This window comes from Homo sapiens, chromosome 2 (genome assembly GCF_000001405.40).
Source record: "Homo sapiens chromosome 2, GRCh38.p14 Primary Assembly".
Taxonomy (NCBI): domain Eukaryota; kingdom Metazoa; phylum Chordata; class Mammalia; order Primates; family Hominidae; genus Homo; species Homo sapiens.
The window spans coordinates 156,589,220-156,614,899 of record NC_000002.12 but is presented as its reverse complement, the minus strand read 5'-3'; the positions used below and the strand labels follow the sequence as shown (position 1 = coordinate 156,614,899).

General features: G+C 35.5%; 1 long non-coding RNA gene across 1 annotated transcript; it reads right to left on the bottom strand.

Annotated features, from left to right (window-relative positions):
• Window positions 1-1,162: 1,162 nt before the first annotated feature.
• LOC105373707 (uncharacterized) lies at window positions 1,163-9,791 on the bottom strand. Its single transcript, XR_923505.3, has 2 exons — window positions 4,051-9,791; window positions 1,163-1,425 (listed from the first exon to the last, which is right to left on the bottom strand). It is a non-coding gene; the product is annotated as an uncharacterized LOC105373707 (long non-coding RNA).
• Between the last annotated feature and the right edge of the window lie 15,889 nt (window positions 9,792-25,680).

Below are 25,680 nucleotides of genomic sequence, written 5' to 3'. Positions count from 1 at the left end.
CAAATGAATGTTAATTATGCACACCTTAGCACATGTATAACATATATTTTATATAATTAATTTCAAAAGATGCCAATTTCTGGAATGTTATAAATATGCACATGTATACGTATGTAACAAACCTGCACGTTGTGCACATGTACCCTAGAACTTAAAGTATAATAAAAAATAAATAAATAAAATTAAATGTTACACCATTCTGTTAAATGTCTTTAATGAGATAAAAATACTATAACAAGTTGAGACTCATTATTCATTAAAAAACAAAGTTAGAAATTTTTGTCCTTGAAATTGTATTTTCATTCCACTTCCCCTATAGAATGTTACCCTAAAGTAATATACGTTTATGCTTGAAAATCTTTATTGATCACCCTATCATAATTCTTTGCAGCAATATATACGTAAATTTAGTTTAAAATTTTCCTGTGACCATAATGCTCAGGTTAAAATAATAAAAATGTTATTACAATGCACACAATGCATTGTTAAAATATGTCGTTTGGTTTTAGTTGTCATTACTTTTATTAGTAGTAAACAATTGATCAAAACCTCAAAAATAGATTATATTGATAAAAAGTAATCCTAAGAAATAGAATTTAACTGTAAATTTATCTCTGAATAAACAATTGCTTGTGATTCCTTGATTAAAGGAACGGTCCATCTGCCTCTTGTTTGGTATCAGAAAGGGGAGTGGGTTGTACTTATGGCAGCTCACCATTGTACAATTTCAGCTCCGGGGTAAGTATGAGAGGGAAACGAGGGAGATGGGCAAAGGCAAACCAGGCAATTGGTAACTTCTCAGGAAGTTTAGGGAGAACATATTGAATATTAAGAACCGAAAATGGGCGGACGTGGTGGTGGCTCATGCCTGTAATCTCAGCACTTTGGGACGCCGAGGCAGGCATATCACTTGAGGTCAGGAGTTCAAGACCAGCCTGGCCAACATGTTGAAACCCTGTCTCTACAAAAAATACAAAAATTAGCCCGACGAGGTGGCATACACCTATGGTCCCAGCTACTTGGGTGGCTGAGGCCCAAGAATCGCTTGAGCCCAGGAGGCAGAGGCTGCAGTGAGCCGAGATCACACCACAGCACTATAGCCTGGGCGACAGAGGGAGACTCTGTCTCGAAAAACAAACAGAAAAAAAAAACTGAAAATGGATTACCTTAAAACTATTTATATTTATGTACCCCCCTTGGAAAGTCTTTGTGTGCCCCCGTTTGAAGACCACTGCTTTAAAACACTGATAGTTCTTCTCCAATAAACCTCTTCAACTAGGTAATGATGACCAGAATGCGGTGTGATCAGAATTTATCTTCACGACTCCATGTATCTACTTGAATTAGATTGAACATGCTCCCCAAGAAACATATCTTCTCTTCATTGTTGTGATTCTTCCACACTCTTCATAGAAGGCTATGAACCTTGTAGATAAGAAATAAAGATTCATTAATAATGATAATTTCTGAGATTATTTTATTATTTAAAAATGTAGCTTCACAGAAATCCATACAGTTAAAAAGAAAACCACCACCACCACCAAAAACAGAGTAAGAAAGAATTTTTTGGATTTTGACAGTGTAAAAGAAAGAAAAGGTTGATATTTAATATGTTTTAAATTACTTATCTGCTCTAACTATTGTATCACATCATATTTCACACACCTGTCTTGGTTATATCCTAACTATAGCTCAGTGCTAAGCAAAGTGAAAAAGTCAGAAAATAACAGGGCAGAGATTACAGCAAGGTTACAGTTGGGGGAGGGGGAAAAGCAGCTCCTGCGGAATAATCGGTTTTAAATTGGAGGTCTTTACTTAAAACCCTCAGGAAATAAAAAGGGTCAAAAAAAAAAAAAAAGGAAAATTGCACAGGGGTTATATTACTTAAAAAGACAATCTCGTTTCTCTTTCAAAAATTGCTATATTTTTGGAAGATGTCTTTGACAATCGATGTCATCACTTAAGGACCATTGCTCGATAAAAGAGTAGTCAAGAACTCTGAGTTTTATGGCATTTAAACGTTTCTGCCAGTTTGTTAAAAAAAAAAAAAGTATAGTTTTGATCAATTCAATTTAAGCAATTGAAAACTTGGGAATGTAAATTAAGAAATTAAGCTAATTCTTAGTTTTATTTTCAATCAGGAATACATTTTTAAAAACATTAGTTTGAAGAAAGAGTTGGGTTAAAACTTTATTGATTCCATGATCCTGAATTATGTCACGTTATATTTTTTTTTTTAGAAAACAGTCTACTGTCTACAGTGGTAGAAAAAACAAACAACTCTGTACCTGGGGTAAATCTCCCCATATCATTTCATTTTAATGCATACGCTAATGAAAATCCTCTTGCTATTGATAACACGAGCTAAAATCATGTTTAAACTAAAGTTTTCTAATGTCAATCAGAAAGTAATAATGTATTTGTTTTAATTTCTCATTTAAGTAATGAATTAAATAGGTATTTCATTAATATACAGGAACTCAATCTCAGTCAATGCTTCTTTCATAATAATTGTAATGAAGACATGGGATTTCCAAAGCATGTGCATTGTTTCCTAAATAGATGTACAAATTGAAACTTGTTTTATAAATACCTTATTTCGTAAACCACATGCCTGGTCCACAGTAGCCTCTTAATTATTTTAATTAATAAATTAGTTTTTCCTGGCTGGGCATGGTGGTGGCTTTCATCAATTTGCCCGGGCAACATGGTGAAACCCTGTTTCTACGAAAAATACAAAAGTTAGCCTGACATGGTGGCTCGTGCCTAGAGTCCCAGCACTCAGGAGGCTGAGGCAAGAGGATTGCTTAAGTCCGAGGGGTCAAGGCTGCAGTGAGCCATGATCATGCCACTGCACTCCAGCCTGGGCGACATAGTGAGACCCTGTTTCAAATAAATAAATAAATAAATAATTTTTTCCTATAGTCATTAGCCTATTTAGTCTATAGCTGTCACATATGCATTGAAATGAGGTTACAAAATTCAGCAGACCCTAAAGACATGGTTTCTTGGGAATTCATGCTTAAGGACTTCACAAAATAAAAACAAAAGATAGAGTAAAGATATTGAACTTAGAATGGCCACAGCTAACCTAGGATTACCGTGCCCATGTTTCAGCCAGTTTTATGGCACTTTATACATTGCTCTCTGGTTAGGCAAAATTGGAATAGGTGAAAGATAAATACAAGACTGGAAAAGTACAAGATACTGAGTCCAAGGAAAAAAAGCCAAAGAGATGCAGGAAGAATTAGGCAAAGACCATAAATGATGCACAAAGAGAATCAAAGAACTTCACTGTTATTTTTAGTGAATATTCAAAGTGGGAAACAAGTTAAACAAATTCAGACTGTTTTCCACTGTTTGTATGTTACTAAACTTTGTTTGGGAGAAGGCCTATGAATTACATTGAAATCTTGGTGTTAGCTTATGCTAGATTGAAATAATAGCTGACATTTTGAGGGCACTTACTATGAACCAGGCACTGGAATTATTATTTTTACACATCATCTCATTTAATCCTAACAACAACCCTAAGAGGTAGGCGGTATTATCATCTCCATTTTATGGTGAAGCAATTGGGCTTAGAGAAGTTACTTAACTCTAAGTTTACTAATTGCTTTAAAGTCATGTAGCTATTGAAGTGTCTGAGGCAAGACTTCAGACTGAGATTTGTTTCAGTTCAAAGCCCTTAAACCTCTAGGCTACTGAAACTGCAAGATTAGTGAGATTAAAATATGTCCTTGAAATCCCAGAGCAAATTTTGTTTATTAATAAATCACCAATTGATTAAGGTACAAGCTCCTAATTAAACAGTTAAATGTATATAATGTAAAATGGAAGGATATTTTGTGATGTTTTTCCCCATTTTATTTTTTCTGATAATGATATTTAGTTAGAATTTTAGCCTTGACAAATGTCACATAAGCATATAAATATATAACATACATCTATGTATTTTCAAATAAATGTATACCAATATCTATACACACATTTAGATAGATACATGTAGACAATATGGGGATATACTTACAGAAACATATGTAAACTTACATGTAAAAAAGTTTTACATCTTTTATATCTGTCAGTCTCCAAATCAATGAACAGATTTAACACAAACCAAGTTTTAGAAACTCAACATAATCTTAGAGAAATCATCAAAATGATTTTAAATCTCATCTGGATGAATAAACAAAGAGAAAGGGATTACTTGTTTTATTAGGCATTAAAATGTTACAGAGCTCAAATAATTAAAACATTATGATGAGACTGATCCACGGAAGAAAGTAGTAAGGCACAGTCACTGGTAAGTATGTAATATATGACAAAGAAAACACTATATACTGGTGGAGAACACCTAAATTATTTGTTAAATAATACAGGGTAAATTTAACTGTTTCATTAATGAGGATATAAAGGGGTTAGAAAATTCAGAAAATGCCACTGCAATAGCTCTGAAATATGATAAAAAAATCTTTCAAATCAATCACAAAGTTGATTAAAACTTCCTTTGTAACTAAATTTCCATTAGAGCATCTAATATAGTATTCTATGTAAATCTTGGACTCACTAAACAATGTTGACTATATAAGAATTAAGGAGGAGTGGTTTTCTTTTTTTTTTTTTTTTTTTTTGAGACGGAGTCTCGTTCTGTCGCCCAGGCTGGAGTGCAGTGGCGGGATCTCGGCTCACTGCAAGCTCCGCCTCCCGGGTTCACGCCATTCTCCTGCCTCAGCCTCCCAAGTAGCTGGGACTACAGGCGCCCGCCACTACGCCCGGCTAATTTTTTGTATTTTTAGTAGAGACGGGGTTTCACCGTTTTAGCCAGGATGGTCTCGATCTCCTGACCTCGTGATCCGCCCGCCTCGGCCTCCCAAAGTGTTGGGATTACAGGCGTGAGCCACCGCGCCCGGCCAGGAGTGGTTTTTTAATGTTATAATCTTTTCCACTTGCAATAGTCTTTAAATATGTATATATTTAAACATATATCCCACATTTTCTTCATTTCCTCTGATACTCTTGGAGAGGAGGAGGCTTCTTTTCTGCTTTCTTAGAGGAAAGGCTACTAGGGTTGAAAACTGGGATGTTGGTAAACAATGCTGGATGTCTAGCTACCTTTAGCCAAACACTGCGCAAGGCACTAGACTTCTGGGTCCATCATTCCTGCTACAGATACAGACAAAGCAGAGGGTACAAAATGCAGGCACTGAGTTTGGTCTTATATTCTTATTAGATGGGTATAAACCTTTAAAATACCAGTAAGAGAAATCTTTTATTATTTTGAGCTCTGGGGAGTTTATTATTCTATAAAGATATACTCATCCTTCCCTATTGAAACATGGTTATTTGATTTACTGGATTAGGGGAAGAGATGATTTTGCCTAAACCTTCATGCTTCCCCTATCTCCTGCAGAAACTTTTCATAATAAGGCTGGTAATTTTAATTGAGGTTTTGAAATACGGAAAGCATGTGTTATAAAAGTTTGTCTTTTTAACTCAAGTAACCATCTTTATAATTTTATTTTCTGCTTGTTGGCATGGTGGCAATTTTTTTAATTACGAAAAATTTCAAACATATGGAAAAGATGAGATAATTGTATAATGAACACCCATATAACCATAAACTAATATATTCTAGGTTTTAAAATTATTAACAGTCTGCTTTTCTTGTTGTTGACATATTTTACATCATTCCTTCTAAATGTATTAGCACATTCTCTCGGGGGTTCTGTGGCTACCCTCAAAGATGGTTTCTACTGCAAAAGCAAGATATGTGCTTGAATCTTTCCCTTAAATTACCATATTTCAGAGTAAGAAAATGGTTTTAAAGTCACCTCCAATAGTAGCAAGAAGGAGATTTTTTAAATTGTTCACTAAAAATGCATCACTATAGGATTATAGATTTTTATATATTAAGTCGTATAAACCAATTACAATTCTTATTCTTTTCGATGTTTGTATTGTTCAAGTTTAACCAGTAGCAGCCCACCAATTTTCTTCTGGTTTGATTATCTGTTCCTCATGGGTGAAAGGCATGATTTGCTGGGAAGGGCTGGAGTAACTGGGAGTAGGAAATTGGGCATGAATTGAAGGCTTAGAGGTGAAATGATATCAAACATAGTCACATTTACCAACCAGATGGCAAGGAGAAAAAGCTGAAATTAGATCAGAAGGGAAACATGCAGCTTTATTTTGACATGCTACTTTCTTTTCTAGATACTAAGTGTGATTTTTAATGGATACCTATAATTATTTTTCTTCTGTTACCCATTAAGTTGGGCAGAGCTCAGTTCTTTCATTCACATTTCTACCTGGATGAAGAGGTATTAGCACTGTCAAGAGCTATTTGGTTTCTCAAAGTAAGATGTTTTGCAATGAAAAAAATGTCTCAAGATAATGTTAATTATTTTCTAATAAATGCCAAAGGATTTCCTGGATATTGCCAAATAAATGCTAATAAAAAATATAAGTACAATTTTTTGTTTCTCATTAAAAATGTTATTTACATGGAGTTTCAAACTCTCTACCAGAATGATTAGTTTTCAATACTTAGGCAAGAGGAAATCCAGCTATTTGGGTCATTTAGCATGTGAATATGAGAGGAGTGGATCTTTTCAGATCCATAAGAGAAATGTAAACCATTCGCACAATTCAATTAAACTGTAAGACTAAAAACTGAAAACTAAATTTCAATAAGCTGAAAACTAAGTACTAAAATATTCTAAACCTTCAGAGAACTATGAAATTAAAGATATGTAATACTCATTAAATTTCCTTTGATTATGTGTGTATTTTCTTTTATCAAGCATAGGAGATGCTGTTGCTATAATGGTATCCTGCTAACACAGATAATAGCAATTTCCCAATTTACCTATATAAGACTGGGAGAAGGTAAACCTAGAAAGAGAGGCTGACACTGGTATAAATGAAGACGGAAAAATTTGGTAACTTACAGCATTGACTACTGGTAGATTATTATTTCCCCAGTGAAGTTTCAAGAGATGTGGATTTGAGCCTTGGAAGGGAGGCTTGCATTCATTATTAGCATGAATAGTAATTTTTTTTAAAGTGTCAACACATTGTACCACCACATTCTGTTCCTAACATTTATAAATACAGTCTCTAAAGTACAAATAATTTATCCTACATCAAATAAAGCAAAACCAAACAAAAACAAAAAAATTATTTATATTTTATTTCTTGCCTTTTAAAATTCTTTCCACTTTTAAATAATACATGTGTGTAAAAGGATTAAGTGAATAAGATGTAGTAAGATGGATTTGTATACACAATATGCTTCTTTTGACAGAAATGGGATGAGGGAGAATGAGAAAAGGAAGAAAGAAAAAAGGCGAGAACCGCCTGCCAAAGGTCAAGCAGAAGGGGCTGCACTGTGTTACTTGATTTAATAATACCTCAATAAAGTTCACCATTACTTTTTTATTATAGCATGTTGGTGCTTCTAAGAGCACTAACAGTGAGAAATAAATGAATATGGCTTCAGATGCTGCCAATGACAGTGGGAGGCCCTGTTTACTTCGCTCTTATGAAGTCTTCTTGAATTGTGTCACTTGTAGAATTTGTACTTGACTTTTGGAAACATAAAATGTTCTTGCCATTGAGAACTAATTAAGAAATCTGGCCCTCTGTGACTGAGCTCATTTTGTTCAGGTTGACTGCATATTCAAGTTTGATTCAAGATGTTCATCTAATGTATACTGTGACCAACTATTTCAGTTGGATTAAGATAATTACCTAGCTCAACTCTCCTGATACATTCCACAAGAATGGCATTCAAAGCCCTTAAATGAGACTGCCACCAAATTGGCACTCCAGGTTTTTAAGAACCTTAAAGTACAAAAGTTAACATTGTGCTTTGGAATGAACCCAAAGTAATCCCAGGCTACCATTAGCAAATAAAGAGGAGGATGGACCTCATAGCAGTTAACACATGGATGAATCTCACAGACATTGGGTTAAGTGAAAGAAGACAGACTCAAACAGTAGGTACTTATGATTCTACTTATAGGAAGCTCAAGAACAGGACAATGTAATCTGCAGTGACAGAAATCAGAATAGCAACTACCTCTGGGAGGTGGGTATTGACATAGAAGAGGAATGAGGAAAGGATGATGGGAATGTTCTATCTCTTGATCTACAATGGCTACATAGGGCATTATTTGTCTATACAAATTTACTGACCTGTAGACTTTGTGATTTTACCGTATGCAATAACTCCGTATTGCATATACGGTATACTGCATATACTTCTCTATTGCTTAATACCGTATACTTCAATGAAAACAACCAAAAGAATTCTGAAAAAGTACCCAATTATGCTTAAAATGATTAAAAACAAAAAAACTTTCATGTTTTTCAGTCAAATCCCCCAAATAGTTTCACCTTCACAATGCTGTTATTTGACTGTTATAAACGGATATGAGCTCTAGATTCTAGACCTAATTTGCCTTCCTGCTATACAAGTTTAACAAAGGCATTTAAGCCTGGGCTAGCTGAGCAAAGTTAGCACACTCAGATTCCAGTTTCTCATTGTGTCAAGTGTGTTTACAGAAAAGTGGGAAAGTTAGGTCTTCCGTGAGTGCCATGACCACAAGCCTGGGCCTAACAAAATTATTCATTAAATATGTATTGAGTGCTTTCTGAGTGTCAAATGCTATTATGGGCACAGAAGATACACAGGTGAACAAGAAAAGGTCCTGTTCTCACAGATCATAATTTCTAGGATTAGGAAAGAGAAAGCGACAAGCAATTTAAACATAAATGCACAAAATATTCTTAAGCTAGTGGTAAGTGCTACATGGGGAGGACCCATTGTAGATGGGGTGGTCAGAGAAAGCCTCTCTGAAGATGTGACATTTGATCTGTGTCCTGAATGATGAGAGAAAGCCAGTCATGAAGAAAGCAAGGGAAACAATGAAGCTGGTAGACAGAACGGCAAGCCAAAGCCCTGGAGGATGGAAAAATCTTGACATATTTGCAAAATACAAAGAAGGCCAGCATGTTCCAACTAGAGGGAACTAGTGGAGAAATTATGTGGGAAAAAATAATAGACAGGCTTGGAGGCCATTTTACAAAGTATGAATTTGGTTCTAAAGACAAGAGCAAGCCATTGGAGATTTTTAAGCAAAGGGATAGTACAAATGGAAAGAATTTAGACTTGAGACATGTTTGGAGGTAGATTTAATCAGATATATATAGACTAAAAAGTGGCAAAGAGGGAAAAGGAGGAATTAAAAATAACTGCCTGGTTTTAGGCTGAGACAGCTGATGGTGGGCATGATGAGGGTGCCATTCCCCAAGATGAAGGAGATTTGGAGGATTAACATATTTGAGAAAAAAACATAGATTCATTGTGGACACGTTGAGTTTCAGCTACCTTTAAAAGCCATATCACAAATGAACACATTTGACTTCAACAGAAGAAATTATATGACCTGATGAAGCTCAAAATCGTCATTCAGGTGGAAAAACAACTTCAGGCTTATGCTTCAAAATGGTGGACTCATTGTATTTTCTTTCAATAATGAGGACAGAATATTGAGTATCAACAGGGATATTTCCAACATCTTCCTGCTGATTTCCTAAGACAGAAACCATTAGAAGGTGTTATTGAACATTTGTGCTATCGTTCTATCATCTATGGCAACACACATCCTACCGTTTGGGAAGATTGCTAACGGCAAAGTTCTGGAGTTTTTCAAAACCTGGAACTAATGATGATACTATAAAACAGGCCTTTTAATACACTGTTGGTAGAGATCTCTGCCAATTTAAAGGCCAATTTGATAATATCAATTAAAATTTTAAATATGTAGGCCCTTTGGCAAAGTATTATCATTTCTATTACTATATTCAAAAATTTTGCACAATTACATAGGATATTTGTTTAAGCATTGATTTGGAAATCATTCTAATATACATAACTAGAAGTTGTGTATGTATATGGTTACTTATACATAATGAAATAGTACACAGCCATTAAAAATAAGAAAGATCTGTATGTACTGACATTATATATATATATATAAAGTAAGTAGGTAAGTGAAAGTGCAAGTTATAGCAAGTATAGTCTAATCTCATTTTGAATGAAAAATCTTCTGAAAGAAAAGATCAAATTGTGGCTTTTTTTCATGTCTGGGATATTTCTATGACATTTAGATTTTTGTAATAATCATATACTACTTTTATAATAGAAAAGAACCATAACAATATTTTTCAAAGCCATATAGTGCAGAATTCATACAAAACAGAGTATATGAAACAGCCTTCCAGTGTTAGAAATGCTGAAGTCAAAAAGTAGCCAGGCATGGTGGCTCAAGCCTGTAATTCCAGCACTTTGGGAGGCCAAGGCGGGCAGATGGCTTGAGCCCAGGAGTTCAAGACCACCCTGGGCAATATGGCAAGACCTTGTCTCTACAAAAAATACACACACAAAAGAAAATTAGCCAGGCATGGTGGCGCGTGCCTGTAGTCCCAGCTACTCGGGAGGCTGAGGTGAGAGGATCATTTGAGTTCTGGAGGGGGAGGTTGCAGTGAGTGATGATCATGCCACTGCACTCCAGTCTGGGTGACAGAGCAAGATGCTATTTCAAAAAAAAAAATGTCACAAGACCAAGTATAGTTTTGAGATAATTGTGGCTTTTGCTAAACAAACAAACAAACAAAAAGCAGTTTTGAGTATAAGCTATAATCTTGGAAGTATAATAGGAGGAAATATAGGCATAGATCTATGCTTAATATCTGAACATCTGAGTATCTTTCTTGTCTGTCGTCCTAGCTGAGATATCACAGGAGTTGTTGTTTCTCTCAAATATTCAAAGGCTTTGGGAAGGAGACTGCTAGTTTTCTGGTTCTAATTGTTTTATAGAAGATTATATGAATCTTCCAGGAAAAGGTTGTACAACTTCACATGAAGGGCTCACATCATCAAAATTATTTTGAAGAGAAAATGAATTATAGAATTGTCAATTCTCTCAAAGTTGTTGTACACATCTCATGCAGTTCCGCTTAGAATTTCAAAAGAGCTTCTTTTAACTAAATTTCTTTTGGAAGAGTAGATGTCTGAAAACATTAGAGTTAATTGTGTAAAAGTAGAATAGTGAATGAGGACTTACTTTTCTAGATAATAAAACATACTATAAAGTTATTATATTCAAAAGAGAATTTTCTTTACCTGAAAATAGAAAAACTAGATCACAGGAATTAAATAAACTCCAAATAGATGAAAGATTTAAATGTAAAACATAAAACAATAACAAGCATGAAAAAACTTAGTGTATATGTATTAAGTAAGGGTTGGAGAGCTTTGTAAAAAAGACAAAAGACCAGAAACTATAAAAGACATGTTTGACTTCATAAAATTAAATTATACTTGTACTGCAAAAAAACACTAATAAAGCCAAAAGAATATTTAAATGCATATAAAGGATTACTTCACTAATTTTTTATAACACAAAAATCCCAATTTAAAAATGGGCAAAGGATATAAATAGGCAATTCAAACTGGAGTAAATCCAAATAGGTGGTAAGTCCATGAGTGATGTTTTAACATTCAAGCTAAAGAACAAATAACCTACTACTTGGCTACAAAGTGATAACAAGTACTTTGAGAAATATAATAGGTAGCCTCATACATTGCATTAGATATGTAAGGAGTAGAATTAGTAAAAAAATAAAAATAAAAGAGCAATGTATCCATGATAAGAACAGGATTATGATATACCATCAACATACATGTACATGCGAAAAAGTGATGTGTTGAAAGGATGGTCATCAAAACACTAATTGTGGTTATCCCCAAATAGTAAGATTTCAGGTGAGTTTAGCATGCTTCCTATACGTTTTGAATTTTTTTTTGTTTGTTTTTCTACTTTGTATAACACTATATTTTCAATTAAAATTTGTGAAAAAATGAATTCTTACGAAACTCAAAAACCCTAAAAATATCCTCTTCACTCCACCCCTCCTTCCCTGCTTTTACTTCTAATTCAAGCTTGTTTTTTATTTTAGTGGGAATGGGGGTGGGGTAGGGGTAGGGGATTAGAAATTAGAAAACATGCTCACCAAGGAACAAGGGCTATTGGCTGTTCCTGAATGAGATTCAGATAGAATGACACAATACAGCACTTCCAAAAGTTTCCATTGCATCTCTTCTCATTCCTATTTTAGTAACCTTTGACATTTGGAGAAACAAAAGCCTACATTCATTTTTGTACTTCTCTCTCCCTAGGGCCTTATTCAACAATTGTCAGAGAATATTTTGTACCACTGATAGCAATAACAGCCTCTAACCTGCCTTCCCTTCTATCACTTTGAGTCCAAGACAAGGCAACAGAATGCAGGGATAAGTGAGTCTTGTCTTTGCCAGTTTATTTGAGATTCATCCTTCTTGTTGTATTTCAGATTTACAGACCCACTCCCCACCCCGGTGTCATCTGCAAGCTGAAATCTGAACTGACACCATCTACTCTGCTAGCTGCTTATAAAGACTAGTTGTAATTAGGCACAACGTGGGCTACAATGTAAGCCTGTGTTGCTAATAACAAGTGGGATGTACAGCATTGAGATACAAGAAGTGCCCTTTATTCCCATTTATGTTACCGGAAAAATAGACATACATAAAGCCAGTGCCACGTTAAGTTTTTTAAGGCAATAAAAGTGTTTTGAATTCCTAGACATCCTACGAGTTTCAGTTTTATAAAATGTGCCATCTATTTTCTTTCTTTTCCCTCAAATCTTTTAGCATCACACATTTAGCCTGGCTCTTTCCCTTGTCTAGAGGCCAGGGAGGGTTCCCAGCATATGCTTATGCAAGAAAAGGGATGTTTGCCTTCTTTCCAACCTTGCCCCCGCACTCTCCTCATCATGCAAAGCTGAGAAACAGAAACACTATACAGATCCTTTGGAACCTCCTGTGTGCAAATTCCAAAGGAGTTTAGAGTTCTAGGGAGGAGTTGGAAGTACACAGAGAACCAAGAAGTGTGCTCCTTCCCTAGCCAAGAGTTCCTGAGGGCAAATCCCTGTGGTCTCCATGGGTACCTTTCACTATGCCCAGAATGTAACCCACTGGCTTCTCTCCTCATTGTTGTACGGAAAAGAAGCTCATGCATTCAACAACCACGACTGTGCTCAGTAATACTGCTGAGCAGACACCTAGTGACCCAGGAGACAACTGGCTTTAGTTTTAGTTTAGTAGGCGTTTATTGAGTGCTCATTGCTTGCAAGGCTCTTGACTGGGGATAAATAGGTGAATAAGCCCATGTCACTGACCAGGAAGGGATGATTTTCTATCAGAATAGTTAGGTGGATGACAAGATAATAAGACATTGTAATGACTATAATAGAAGTATAATCAAGGTTTGAAGAAGGATAGGGAAGAAAGTATGGGGAAGGTGATTTAGTTATTTTTCCTGGGACAGGAGACTAGAGGAAAGGAAGGAGAAAAGAATTTTAGAGATGGAGTTAACATTGAGCTTGGGTCTTAAAATATAGGAATTGTGTGGGTGTGGTGGCTCAAGCCTGTAATCCCAGCACTTGGGGAGGCCGAGGAGGGAGGACCTCTTGAGCCTATGAGTCCAAGACCAGCCTGGGCAACATAGGAAGACCCTGTCTCTACAAAAAATAAAAATAAAAATAATAAAATAGAGGAAATTATGTAGAAGAGAAATAGAACTAAAAGGAGGCTGTCTACGCTGCAAAAAATATTTGCAAAGACAAGAAGCATGACCACAGTGTGGCTCAATGGTGAGTAGTTCTGTGTCATTAAGGTGTAGGGCAAATGTGGGGAGTGCCTGGCACTGTAGACAGGTCCCAGGTTGTGAATTGTCTCTTCACCTTGTATGAGTTGTTACAGGCTTTTTAGGAAGGAACAAACATAAGCAGATTTTTAGAAATAAGAGAATGGCCTCAACAGAGAAGACCAGATCAGAATGACAATGGTGGTGGGTGCTTAGTTATTGGTCGATGTTGAGGCCAGAGAAAAAAGTTTAGGAGACAGCAGATTTCCATCAGGTGGAAATGATGCAATCCCAAATTAACCCTGGATGAATATGATGGGACAAGTGAGAAAAATATTTATAGACAGAGTTGGTTTAATTTGGCAACTGACTAATTAGGTAGGGGTAAAAAGGGATGGGAGGAGAAAGTAGCTTCCTTTGTTGGATTGCCAATGTTTGAAAAACATTGTGATGATTTCCTTGGCTCATGATACAATAAGGTTTATGTTATATGTATCTTAGGATCTGAGACCTTATGCTGAAATAGATTGATTTTGATAATTCAGTCTATTTCATTCTTTAGTTGTACCCTTCACTCTTTAGTTGATGTAGATAATATTTATAACTTTTGGCATTTTGCATTATAATTGGTGTGAATATTTTATGGAAAATTGTACCCCAGTGTGAAAACAGCAAGTCCAACTTGCAAAACTGTGTAGCATTCCGACGTAAGACATCTCTAAGCAGCAGCACCATTTCCAGGACTGCTTATGATACCATGTCAAGATTCAGACACCCCATCCAGAAATAAGGCATAAATTTCACTATCACATATTAAAGATAAACACAACAGGGATAGGAATGCAACAATAATATCAAAATAAATGTAGAGCTCTGAGACTAAAATTCTTCATCTTACAGCAACACGTTAAAAGGGGGAAAGAACCAAACAACCAAATGAAACAAAAACCATGCCTTGTTTCTTGATTTCTTTTCCCTTCACAGTCAAAAAGGTATCTAAGAGAAATTATATAGAATTCAAAATAATGGCTCTAGGGATTCCTAACAGAAGGACAATATTAGGTCACAGCCATCATATTTCTGGTAAAATCAAGTATGTTCTTTTGGAAGAGGCTTAAATTTTTTAATTTGTAAGGTCACAATAGTCTGTCTCCTTTTTCATTTTCACCTGATGCCTTGCTAATGCCTATCGTTTTCGCTATGGGGCTTTTCTTAGGTAAACTGATGTGACTTGTGGTGGGTGGTATACTTACTAAGTTAGTGAAGAATACTTAAAACTAGAATTTTCACACTTAGGATCAGACAGGCTGCGGGCCACTATTCCTTATTCTTATCTCTCTACAATAGGAAGAACAAAGAAGGCCATTCAAACTCCAGGCTCCACACAAACTCAACTCTTCCACTTACCACATTTGTGACCTTGAGAGAGTCCTTCAATCCCTTTTTACCTCCGTTTCTTCACCTTTAAAAAGGGATAGTAACAGTACCCAATGGTGGAGTTGTTATGAATATTAAATGAATTAATCTATGCAAACACTTAGACCAGCCTCTGACATACATGAAGCCGCATATAACAGTTGTTGCTCTTGCGACAGTTATTGGCGCTGCTGATCACTCTGAACTTTTCTCCTTTAAATGCACAATAAGACCCATTGCATTCAAATCCACAGTAGGACCTTACTGAGCTGCAACAATTGAATAAGAAATTTCTACCATTTTATTTAAAGATGCTCTTCCCCCAATTTTTAATTCCATCCATTGGTATCTGGTTTTTGCCTGCATACACCTTGGCCCTGCGCTCCTAGGAGACAAAAACTCACCATACAAAGAAGTACATTAAAGCAGCCCCCAGCCATTGTTTCATTTTACTTTCTCTTAATTTCCTTTAACTTCATTATGTAACTTTGTAATTATTGAAAATAATAGAAAGGAAACATCTTTAAAATACACAAAAGTGTATGTGATGTTGATTCCTAGAACTGAGGAAAACTATCCTGCCCCAACTGTTAAAAAAGATTTATCTTTCTATGCTAAAATGAAAATTCTGAAACAAAGAAATATTACATGAGCTATGTTGACGCATCATAATAACAGTAAGAAAGCCTTATTCTTTGGGTGTAAATTTTATGTTTTTGTTTTACAGTTCCAAAAATCTATGCATTTGAAAAGTACAGCAACGGAAACTTGTTATAAGTCAAGTTTGCATTGCTATTGGTTGATTTTGTACATGTTTCCATTTCTTTCACCCTGAGTTCCCTGCAGCTTTATGACAAGTAAATGAAGATATTTGGAGCCTGCTGAAGAATTACAAACATTTGAGGTGGCAGGAGCAAGGGCCTGAGGTCATGCCCAAGATGCAGGTGTTCAGAATTCCAATCCCTGCCTTAGCAAGGGCTTGCTGAGTGCCCTTGAGCAAGTCACTTTGCTTCCCTGGACTTCTCTCCTCCCTGCTAGGGTGAGGATATTAATGCTCAGCTCCCACACGGGGGGATCAAGTGTATTAAGTAATTAGAAAACAAGATTCCCATAGAACTCTGTAGGAAATGAGAATTTAGTCAGATGATTCTTAAGTGTTCTGGAAAACAAAAAACAAAAATTAGACTGAGAGTTATACAAAGCAAAATTTAGTTGTCAATACATAAGATTGGTGGAGGCTACCTCTCCATTTTACCTAAGCAGGAAAACATAATATTTAAGGACATATATTATTTCCAAATAAAATTCCACTCTTCTCTCTCTCTCTCGCTCTCTCTCTCTCTCTCTCACACACACACACACACACACACACACACACGAGATACCCTTCCTCATTCTTTCTTTATTTTAAAGTACTGCACCTATTTGGTTTCAAAATAGGAGCCTTCTACATAAAATTATCAGCTTTAAAACAATGTTTGAAATAATTAGGTCACAAATTCTGGAGCCCTTTAATGTGGTTGCAATTCTATAACTATCTGCGCATTCCATGTATGGCCCTATTAAATGTACCAGGCACCAATGTTGCCGGCTGTCAAGAAGCAAAATGAAAAATAGTTTTAATAGCTGCTCTTTGACCTGTTTTATATTTTATGTCAATTATAACAGCACACAACCATGCATAATTATGAAGCATAGATGCATTAAAATGTACACATAATTTGTGTTCTTATGGCAACCATTGCATTAGGCTCTAGAAAACAAACCTATTGTTATAAGTCATTTGCACATTAATATATTAGTATTAAATATCGAAGACAGATTTGTCTATCCATCTGTTTTGAGTCATTGTAAGTAAATATATCTTTTTGGAGGGGTGGACAAAATCTCTACATAAATGCACTGTAGGTGCCATCTGCACCATATATTATAATACAGAGTTTAGCACCATCGTGCATAGCAACTCCAGCAAAGACGGTGCCATGTGATTGTCATTTGAATGTCATTTTTAAAAAATGATCTGGTATATGGACAGAAGGAGGATTTTTTTTCTGGCACTGCCATGAAAATTCCTTCATTTGACTATCCTGTGGCTTTTGGATTTCTTTCTTAAAAGCTTATATTTTTCCAAGGATAAAAGGAAAATAATTATTTTAATGCTGGGTAAATGAACAAAAGAGTATGTTTTCTCTATGGCAAAATTAGTAAAATACCACAGAAAAATTGCTTTAAAATATCTGATAATTGTAACAATGACCTGAGAAGCAGGTAATAAACCCAGAAAATGACCTTTCTATGCTACAGATGAGGAAACCAGGGATTTTTCTACTAGATGACAAAACAGAGTTATCAAAGAACAATCAGATAACTCCAATTTTAACTTTTCAGCATCCTCATAATTTTATGGAGAGTGAAGCTGCTGGAGTGGAGGGCACAAGAGAGAGATACAAGATAAGAAACAGAAATCAGACTTCCTAGCCCCAAGTTTTTCCATTTAATACTTTCATGTTCATAAATTTAATGGAAGTAAGACTCCACTATCTTGTCAGTTTTGACCCTATTTCTCTATCTCTGAGCAATTGCTTTAGATATCCATCTGACCTTAATTCATCTGAAAGCTCACATGTAGAATCTATAACAGTCGAACTGATAGAAACAGAGTAGAATGGTGGTTTCCATGGGCTGGTGGGTAGGGAGAACATGGAGATGTTGGTCAAAGGGTATAGAGTTGCAGTTAGACAGAAGGAATAAATGATAAGTATTTAAGGTGATGGATAGTTAATTAGCTTGAGTCAATCATCCCACACTGTATAACATCACAGTGTACCCCATAATTATATAGGATTATAATTTGCCAAAAATTTAAAATAAAAAGTAGAAATAAATTGGCAAAATAATGAACATTTCAGTAAGGAAAAAAAATCAAGGCAGGAGGTTGAGGGATGAGAGGCAGAGGCAGCAACGAACTGTTTCCCCGAAGTCCTGACTGAAACAGATGACTATTTGTATTTGTACTTAATTCACTTTAAGTGATCACATTTTTATTTGGGTGACCAGAGAGAATCAGAACAATTTCAACATGCCTTTCTGAAGCTTCATCTAAAGTGTTTTTCACTTCTCTGTTCTTTGCTTCTTTTGTTAGTTGTCAGTAAATGTAGATGTAAAGAATGTTTATTCCATTTCCACATAACCAGACTTTGAATTCAGGCATTTCTGGGATGATTTTAATCTACAATGACTCCTTAATTCACTCATATATTTACAGGTGTAATATATATTACATTTAATTCACCATATATTTACAGTTTACAGGTATTACATCCGTTGTCAAAGTATCACCCAGATATTATTTAAAGCTTTAATTTGTTTCAATTCCAAGAAGTTTCTCTAGGATCTTTAAAATACTTGTCTCTAAATGCAGTATCTCTATCTTTAAATAATCATGTAAAATGTAAAGTGTTTGGAAGAGGACTGGAAATATCTGGCTTTGATGGACTTTTTTTTTTTTTAAACTTGTGGCACTATGGAAAGAAAATTGCTCTGTACTAGCATAGCTCATTCCTACCTAAGATTAGCCAGATAAAGGGAATAATTTTCTGAAGAGAAATGGGTACTAATGGAAGAAAATAAAAGCAGGGGAGAAATAACTGATGAAGAAGGAAGAAAATATGTACCTGAGTAATTGAAGGCAAAAACACAATGAGAAAGGTTGTAGTAGTGAATCTCTATCTCAAATTTCTAGAAAGAGCTATCAAAATTCAGACAAACACCTTGGAACTCATGCCTCTGAAGCTCAACACTGAACAATTTCAGATAGTTATGGAGTGTGTCATGGAGTCACCCATGAGACTACCTGGCTGGCTTCATGCCACACCGTGTTTTGTGGGATAAGATTTTGAGTCTCACAGGCACTGAGAATGGACTGGGGATGAAGATGTGAAGGAGATCACAAAGCCGAATCCGACAGAAAGAGGTCTCCCTTTTGAGAATGTTGAGGTACACTTAATTTAGAATTATATGCTTTTCAAATTTTAAATGCTAAAGGATCACCAATTTAAAGAAAATGGCAGAGTTAGTTCCTCACAGGGCAACTTTCTAAATATTGTCTTCAGAATGAAAATAATATAGTCGATCCTATAGTATTTACTCATTGTTTTAAGCACTGTTTCCTCAAATCCATTTTTACAACACAAAATTGATATTTGTTTAGCTCACAGACATTTGACAAGCATATCTGTAGTTTGCTTACTCTCATGTACTAACATGGAGTTTTACACTTTTTAAAAATTGTTATTATTGATTCATTTTACCCATTTAAATTCTTACAGTATTTTTTTCCTTCTATTATGCCTGTATGTGTTATGTGCTGATTTGACAACATAATTCACTGACTTCCAAGGCTGCTTCATTTTTCTGCACTTAATTATCCAACCCAACTAAAATTAACTTTTCAAAATAGCATTCTTTCACATGCCAGTTATAAAACTGACTACAAAGAAAGTTCTATACATTTCGGTGGATAATACTTCGAGCCAAACTGTCTAAACTGATGGAGACTCTTTACCATTATATTTAAACATCTTAGATTTTTCTCCAGTTTGTCTTCTTTACATAACTTCTTTTTCCTTAGTAAAGTCTACTAGTTTTATTCCTATGTCACCATCTTTACCCTCATTTTCCAGGAAATGGGACAAAGCAACTTCTGTTGAAACACAAAACCCCTTACTTGTCACAAGTGTCAATCAAAACATTGCTTTGTTGATCTCTGCTTGGTTTTGGTTTCCTTTACATTCTAAGGAACTTCTTTCTTAAGAAATTTTTATTTTAAAACTTTATTAATTGATATATATATAAAGAAATCACCAATTAGACTCATCCTTTCAACATTGGCTTATTCATTCATCTGTTGCATATTACCAGGGCTAATGGGCAATATTCACACATTTGGCAAAAGTTACCATCCCAGGAACCTGGCTTCCTCTGGATATTATAAGGTATTCAACACTAATGACAATGCTTCTGGGTTCTGTACTCGGGGAGGCACAGCTGCCAATCTGTGTAGTACTAAACTTTGGGGTGGGACCAGGGACCTATCAAATGGACAGGACCAATCTTTAAGTATACAGCACACAGCAGCATTTCTCAGTACTTCAAACTTGGGGGTAGGAGACTGGTGCAGCATTATAATGGATATCCTAATTTAATTAAAGAATAATTATAGAGCTACAGATCAGAACATATGTAAGATTTCAGAAAAAGATGACATTTCATTCTATCTTTAAACATTTAAAAATTATGTGAAGCCCCTAGAGGATTTTTGATTTGATAAAGAAAAAAACTTATGTAAAATCACATGCAATTTGCCCTTCAAATGATTTTAATATTTATCATAGAAACAATACATGCATTAGTATATGGATTTTTAAAAGGTATAGGTAATTTCCTATGCATCTTCAAGTTTACTTAATGGAAGCCTGGATGTCCGTGTAAAGTCACGTTGGATCTGATGACATATTTTTAATGGCATTACTTACTTGTCCTAACAACTGAAAGACTTTTTTTTTGGTGGGGGGCGGTGGTGGGCGGTGGAAATCTCTCTGGTGCTCAACTAGAAACATCCTGGGGGTGGTAGGAGTTTTCATTTTCAAAGCTATCGCAAGCCAAAAAGACTTACTGAATGCCACTACGTGTCAAACCTGTTTAGATTCAAAATATTAACTCCCCCCAAGTTATTGAGTTTTATATTGACAAGATGTTCCACTTAGTTGCCTATCTTGAAGAAGAAAATAAGAGGCTTGCATTGATTTGAGAACTATCTCTCTGGTTAGGTGCTTTTGTGATTTTATAAAGATTGAACTTCCCAGGGTTAGTTAAAGAATAATATGGCCCTGATAAATCACTGATATGCAGAAAAGGACCAAATCTCTGCATTTCTGAACCACCAAGGGGTAAAGAAAACAGGACAAGCCTTGTCTTACCCACATGCCAAAAATCAGGTTACTCAAACTATGTAGTGATAATGACCGCTGAATATAGCATAAGTAAATATTTGTTATGGGGCCTACATGGTATGAATGAAAAGGACTTATTCACTTTACTTTGGACCCTTCCTTGGGTTTGAACAGAAAGTCCGACTGATGAAATCTCAACACTTGGTCCTAGACCAGCAGACTGCTCAAGGAAGAAAGCACTAGCTCTTGTAAGGTCAGACCGGGTTTGGGCCAATCAGTTGCAGAGAGGTTGTTCTTCGAAGCACTGCTGGCATTTGGGAGTTGCTGTGACAGGCTACAGGAAGAGATTTCATTCTTCTTTAACTTGGTGGCCAGCCTGCAAGCTACTGTGTGAGTCCTTTCCCCCTAATCCATACTGTTCAGTTGCCACGAAAGCTTGTAAACAGGAGCCTCCATCAGTTACCTCAGAGTGGTCTGAACAAACTAACATCATAACAAGAGTGTTTATGGAAAAATGCTTAAGCACTGAAGCAGAAAGGGCTTAGCACTGATCAGACCTCTCTTCCACCTTTATTCTTCACTGTTCACATTGAAATGCAAATATCAGCGCAGGGTTTCCACTGGCGTGCCACTCACAAATTGAAAAGCAGTTTTTATCTATGCAAATGTAAGCATGGTAATTGAAGTTAATCAATCAATGCTAGCTTTCACTAAAACCTTGAACATGATTGAATAAAGTAATTATCATTCAGCGAAAATGATGAAGTTGTAGACAGCATGAACCTTATTAAAGGAGGATTTTGAGTCACAATGGCTTAATTTAGCTAACAGCCCAGCCTTAGCTCAAGCAACATACTACTCTTGCTGCCTAGAATTGTTTTACGATTAAAAAACAACAACAACAATAATAATGGGGGTGGGGGAAGACGAAGGTAAGGATAAAGTAGGGGCTTTATTATTTTTATAGTGCTTACATTAATAAAAAGTACTTGTCATGCTAGAAAAGAGAAGCCATAATTAACATCTTTTAAAAAGCTCTGAACAGATCAGTGAACAAAGATTGCTATGACATTTTTGATATGCCCAACAGCAATAACAGCCTCTTAATGCTATTATTATATTTCTAACATAAATGGGTGAAATAAAGTGAGCATCTCAGAAGTTTTAGTAAAAGAAACACAAAATTAGAAAAATATTTTCATGTGCAAAAGGAACCTATTGAGATTTTGCAAATCGAATGCTAATCTCTTAAAAGCATGACGTCGAATATAATGTGTATTGTTTTTATTGGTTTACAGGAGTTTCAATAATAAAACATATGCTATGTTTTGCACAGCCTTTCAAATATTTCATTTTTTTCCAGAGTGCCATATATTCAATTACTTGCTTTGATTTATAAAAAACAGTCCACCAGAAGGTGTTTTACCTTTAATTCTAGTCTATTTTTTTTTCCAGTTTCTCTAAACTCTTATCTATTTTTACTTATGACTTAAATGCTTTTCTTTAAAAACAAAATTATTTTATTTAAGCCAAAGTTTAGTGTTATTGTTGAAAAATCATTTCAGGTAGTGTAAGGGAAATAATGCATCTCTGGAAAATGTAATCAACAGTTAGTGTGTAACATAATGTAAACTGATTATGGAAAGAGGTTCCATTTAGCTTTTTCCAATGTATTTTTGAAAAACAAGGTTAACTAGCAATATTTAGATTAGAGTCGCCCAGCAGGATATGGTGACTCTAAAGAACCTACAGTAATTCTATTGGATTCAATTAGATTGAAAAAATTAAAGGTCTGTAATCTTGCTAATATTATTGTACACCCTTAGGGAAGTCATTCCCTCCCCCAACTCCATTTTGGTTGATGCATTTCACATTTAGTGTATTTTGAATAACAGTTTACGGGATTAAAGCAGCATTCCCAACTGTATTGCAAAAAAATCCCCCCTCCCTTTTTCGGTGGTAGGGAGATATATAGTGCTAGGTATTTTCTTCTAACATACAATGTCTCCATGTATCCAAATCTCTTAAAGCTTCAGTACGTTCATATACCATCACTTGTATCACTAATAAATAAGTAGGTGACAAAAATAAATTCCAAAGTTTAAATAAGTAGTGAATGGATTATAGTAAAAACAGTTACAGGATTTTTCCAGTACATGTTTTCCCTGAATGTAATTGTCCTGCCTCCTACTATTTAAGTAAAAGCAATCTGCTTATTTATTATCTTCTATGCCATCCACAAAGCACTTAAGTATCACGCTGTGGCTACTGTGGTAAAGTGACATTAGAATGCTATATAAAAATAGTTAAATAGAATCAAAATATCATTTTTACTTGGATAATAATGTGCATTAAAAGTATGATATTGATTGTTTACCTTAAATGCCCTAATAGCAGCAAATTATTCATTTCTGACCTTCTGTGATTATTTCCCACTGCAGGACCAACCCAGGACAAAAGTTAATACATCTCATTTTCTTATTTCTACTCAGGTGTGTCAAACTAACAGTAGCAAGAAAGACCACAGGATAGAGAGGAGACTGTCTTTATTTTTGACCCTTCATTTTCTGCAACAGTCAGGAGTTGACATATTTTGGATTAAAAAGAAGAAAAAATTAAGCAATCATGCAAATCAATTACCAATATATTCACAAAAGATCCAAAGTATATAGAATATTTGCTTTCTTATTCCTAGGATTCATATAGACTAAAAAGGATCTGTATATAAACAGTAAATATTCTATCATCAATGCACCATTTGCAGAACTGCAGAGTATCAAATAACTGGATAGCTAGGAAGTTAAGGTGCTGTGAAGTATTACAGCTACTGTTTTTCTAACTGCTGAAAGCACCAAGACAATACAAAGTTTTGTTTAGAAACAGTTTTTCCCTTGCTACCTTGTGAATCAAAGGAAACTCTTAAAGTCCAAATGCTTGCAATTTAAAATCTATTTGAAACAAATCAACACTTCGTATTTTTGTTCCAAGATGTGTTGCTCTCCCAAGCTTTCCCTGCTGAAGGTTTTCTATTAATTGTACTCTCAGTCCAATAGTGGGTTCTCTGACTCTAGCCTTCACTTGTCTACCATAGCTGTGATGGTTAAAAGCTTCTCCAGTTTGTCACAGAGTTTAATATGCACCCTACATAATTATGCAGGATTCACTGTGCTATCAAACTGCAATTCAAATTAGTTCAGGATTAAAGGCACAGAACAGTACTGCTTCCTTAATTGCATTGTACTGTGCTGATCACATTCAAATACCCATTACTCATTCCCTCTGTGGAGCAATAAGTCAGGGGGATTAATATTCAGGCAGGTGACAGGGCCAAGCCATTAAAAGGCAGTTATGCAGAAAGCATGGCTGGTTTTATTCACGTTAATGAAATCAGTGAAATGAAACTGTAATAGATTTATCAAAGCTCAGATGGATTTGCTGTAAATCAGTTTGATTCAAGCAATCAAACTGGACAATAGAGATAGTTTTCAGCTCTAGCAATGGGTGTCAGAAAGCAGCATGTGAAAAGTGCTGATATTCTTCATGTATGGATTTGATATCCACCTCATGCACAGGCCTATTCCCAAACCACTGCTGCTAATTTTTTTGTCTTTTGAACTAGGTGCCAGTGGCTGATAAAACATACAGCATATCGTCTTAATACAGCACTTACACTGTTTTTATTCCTCATTTTTAAGTCCCCCAGAACATCAATTCTTTCCAATTGCTGGCAGAGAAAAAAGGAAAGTTCGACAGTGCACAAATTGGCATCGCTGTCCCTCTACTTCCCAGAACAGGAATGCAACTTTGGCCAGGGTGACTCCGCACAATTAGTACGAGCTGTGCTACACCAACATGTATGCAAAGGGGAAAATGGTCAGATAACAATTTCCAACAGTAATGGGATGATGCAGGAGCCCTGAGAAGCTGAAAATTTACTTTTGTTCTGGGTTTAATGAAATAATTTGGTATCCATTAGAGGGCAGCATAAGAACAAAAACTAAGCACAGCAAGGGACGTTTCCCCCGCAGATTGACAAGCACTTTTCCTGAGGTAAACTTTTTCGATGTACTAATATTTTACAAGTGTAAAGCCAATGAATGGAGAAAACTAAGTAATGAAGAAGATGGGAACGCATCCTACTGTTAGAGAAAAATGACACCAAGGACAGCATATGCCAATTTAGCTTTAGGGAGTTTTCAGGCCATACATTAACTCCTTCCACACTCCACCTGTTTTTAGGGTTAAAATAGAAATGCTCCTTTCTGGAGCTTAATGATCTTGTATTTTGCAGACAATGTTTCTGATGGAATTACGATGAATTGGGAAATAGTGATCACGTGTTTGTGTTCATAAGAAGTGTATCATGAACTGTGGCTTATACTAAAACTACTCTAATTGGTCCAATTTTTATTTATTAGAAACAAATTGTTGAAGAACTAATGCCAGTTTTTAATGATCCAAAACAGAAATAAATGTTCTAGTCTATTACCGTCCTATATGGAATAAGTCAATATTAAAGCTAATTAACCCTTTTCAAAGGCATTTTGTCCCAGGTTTTT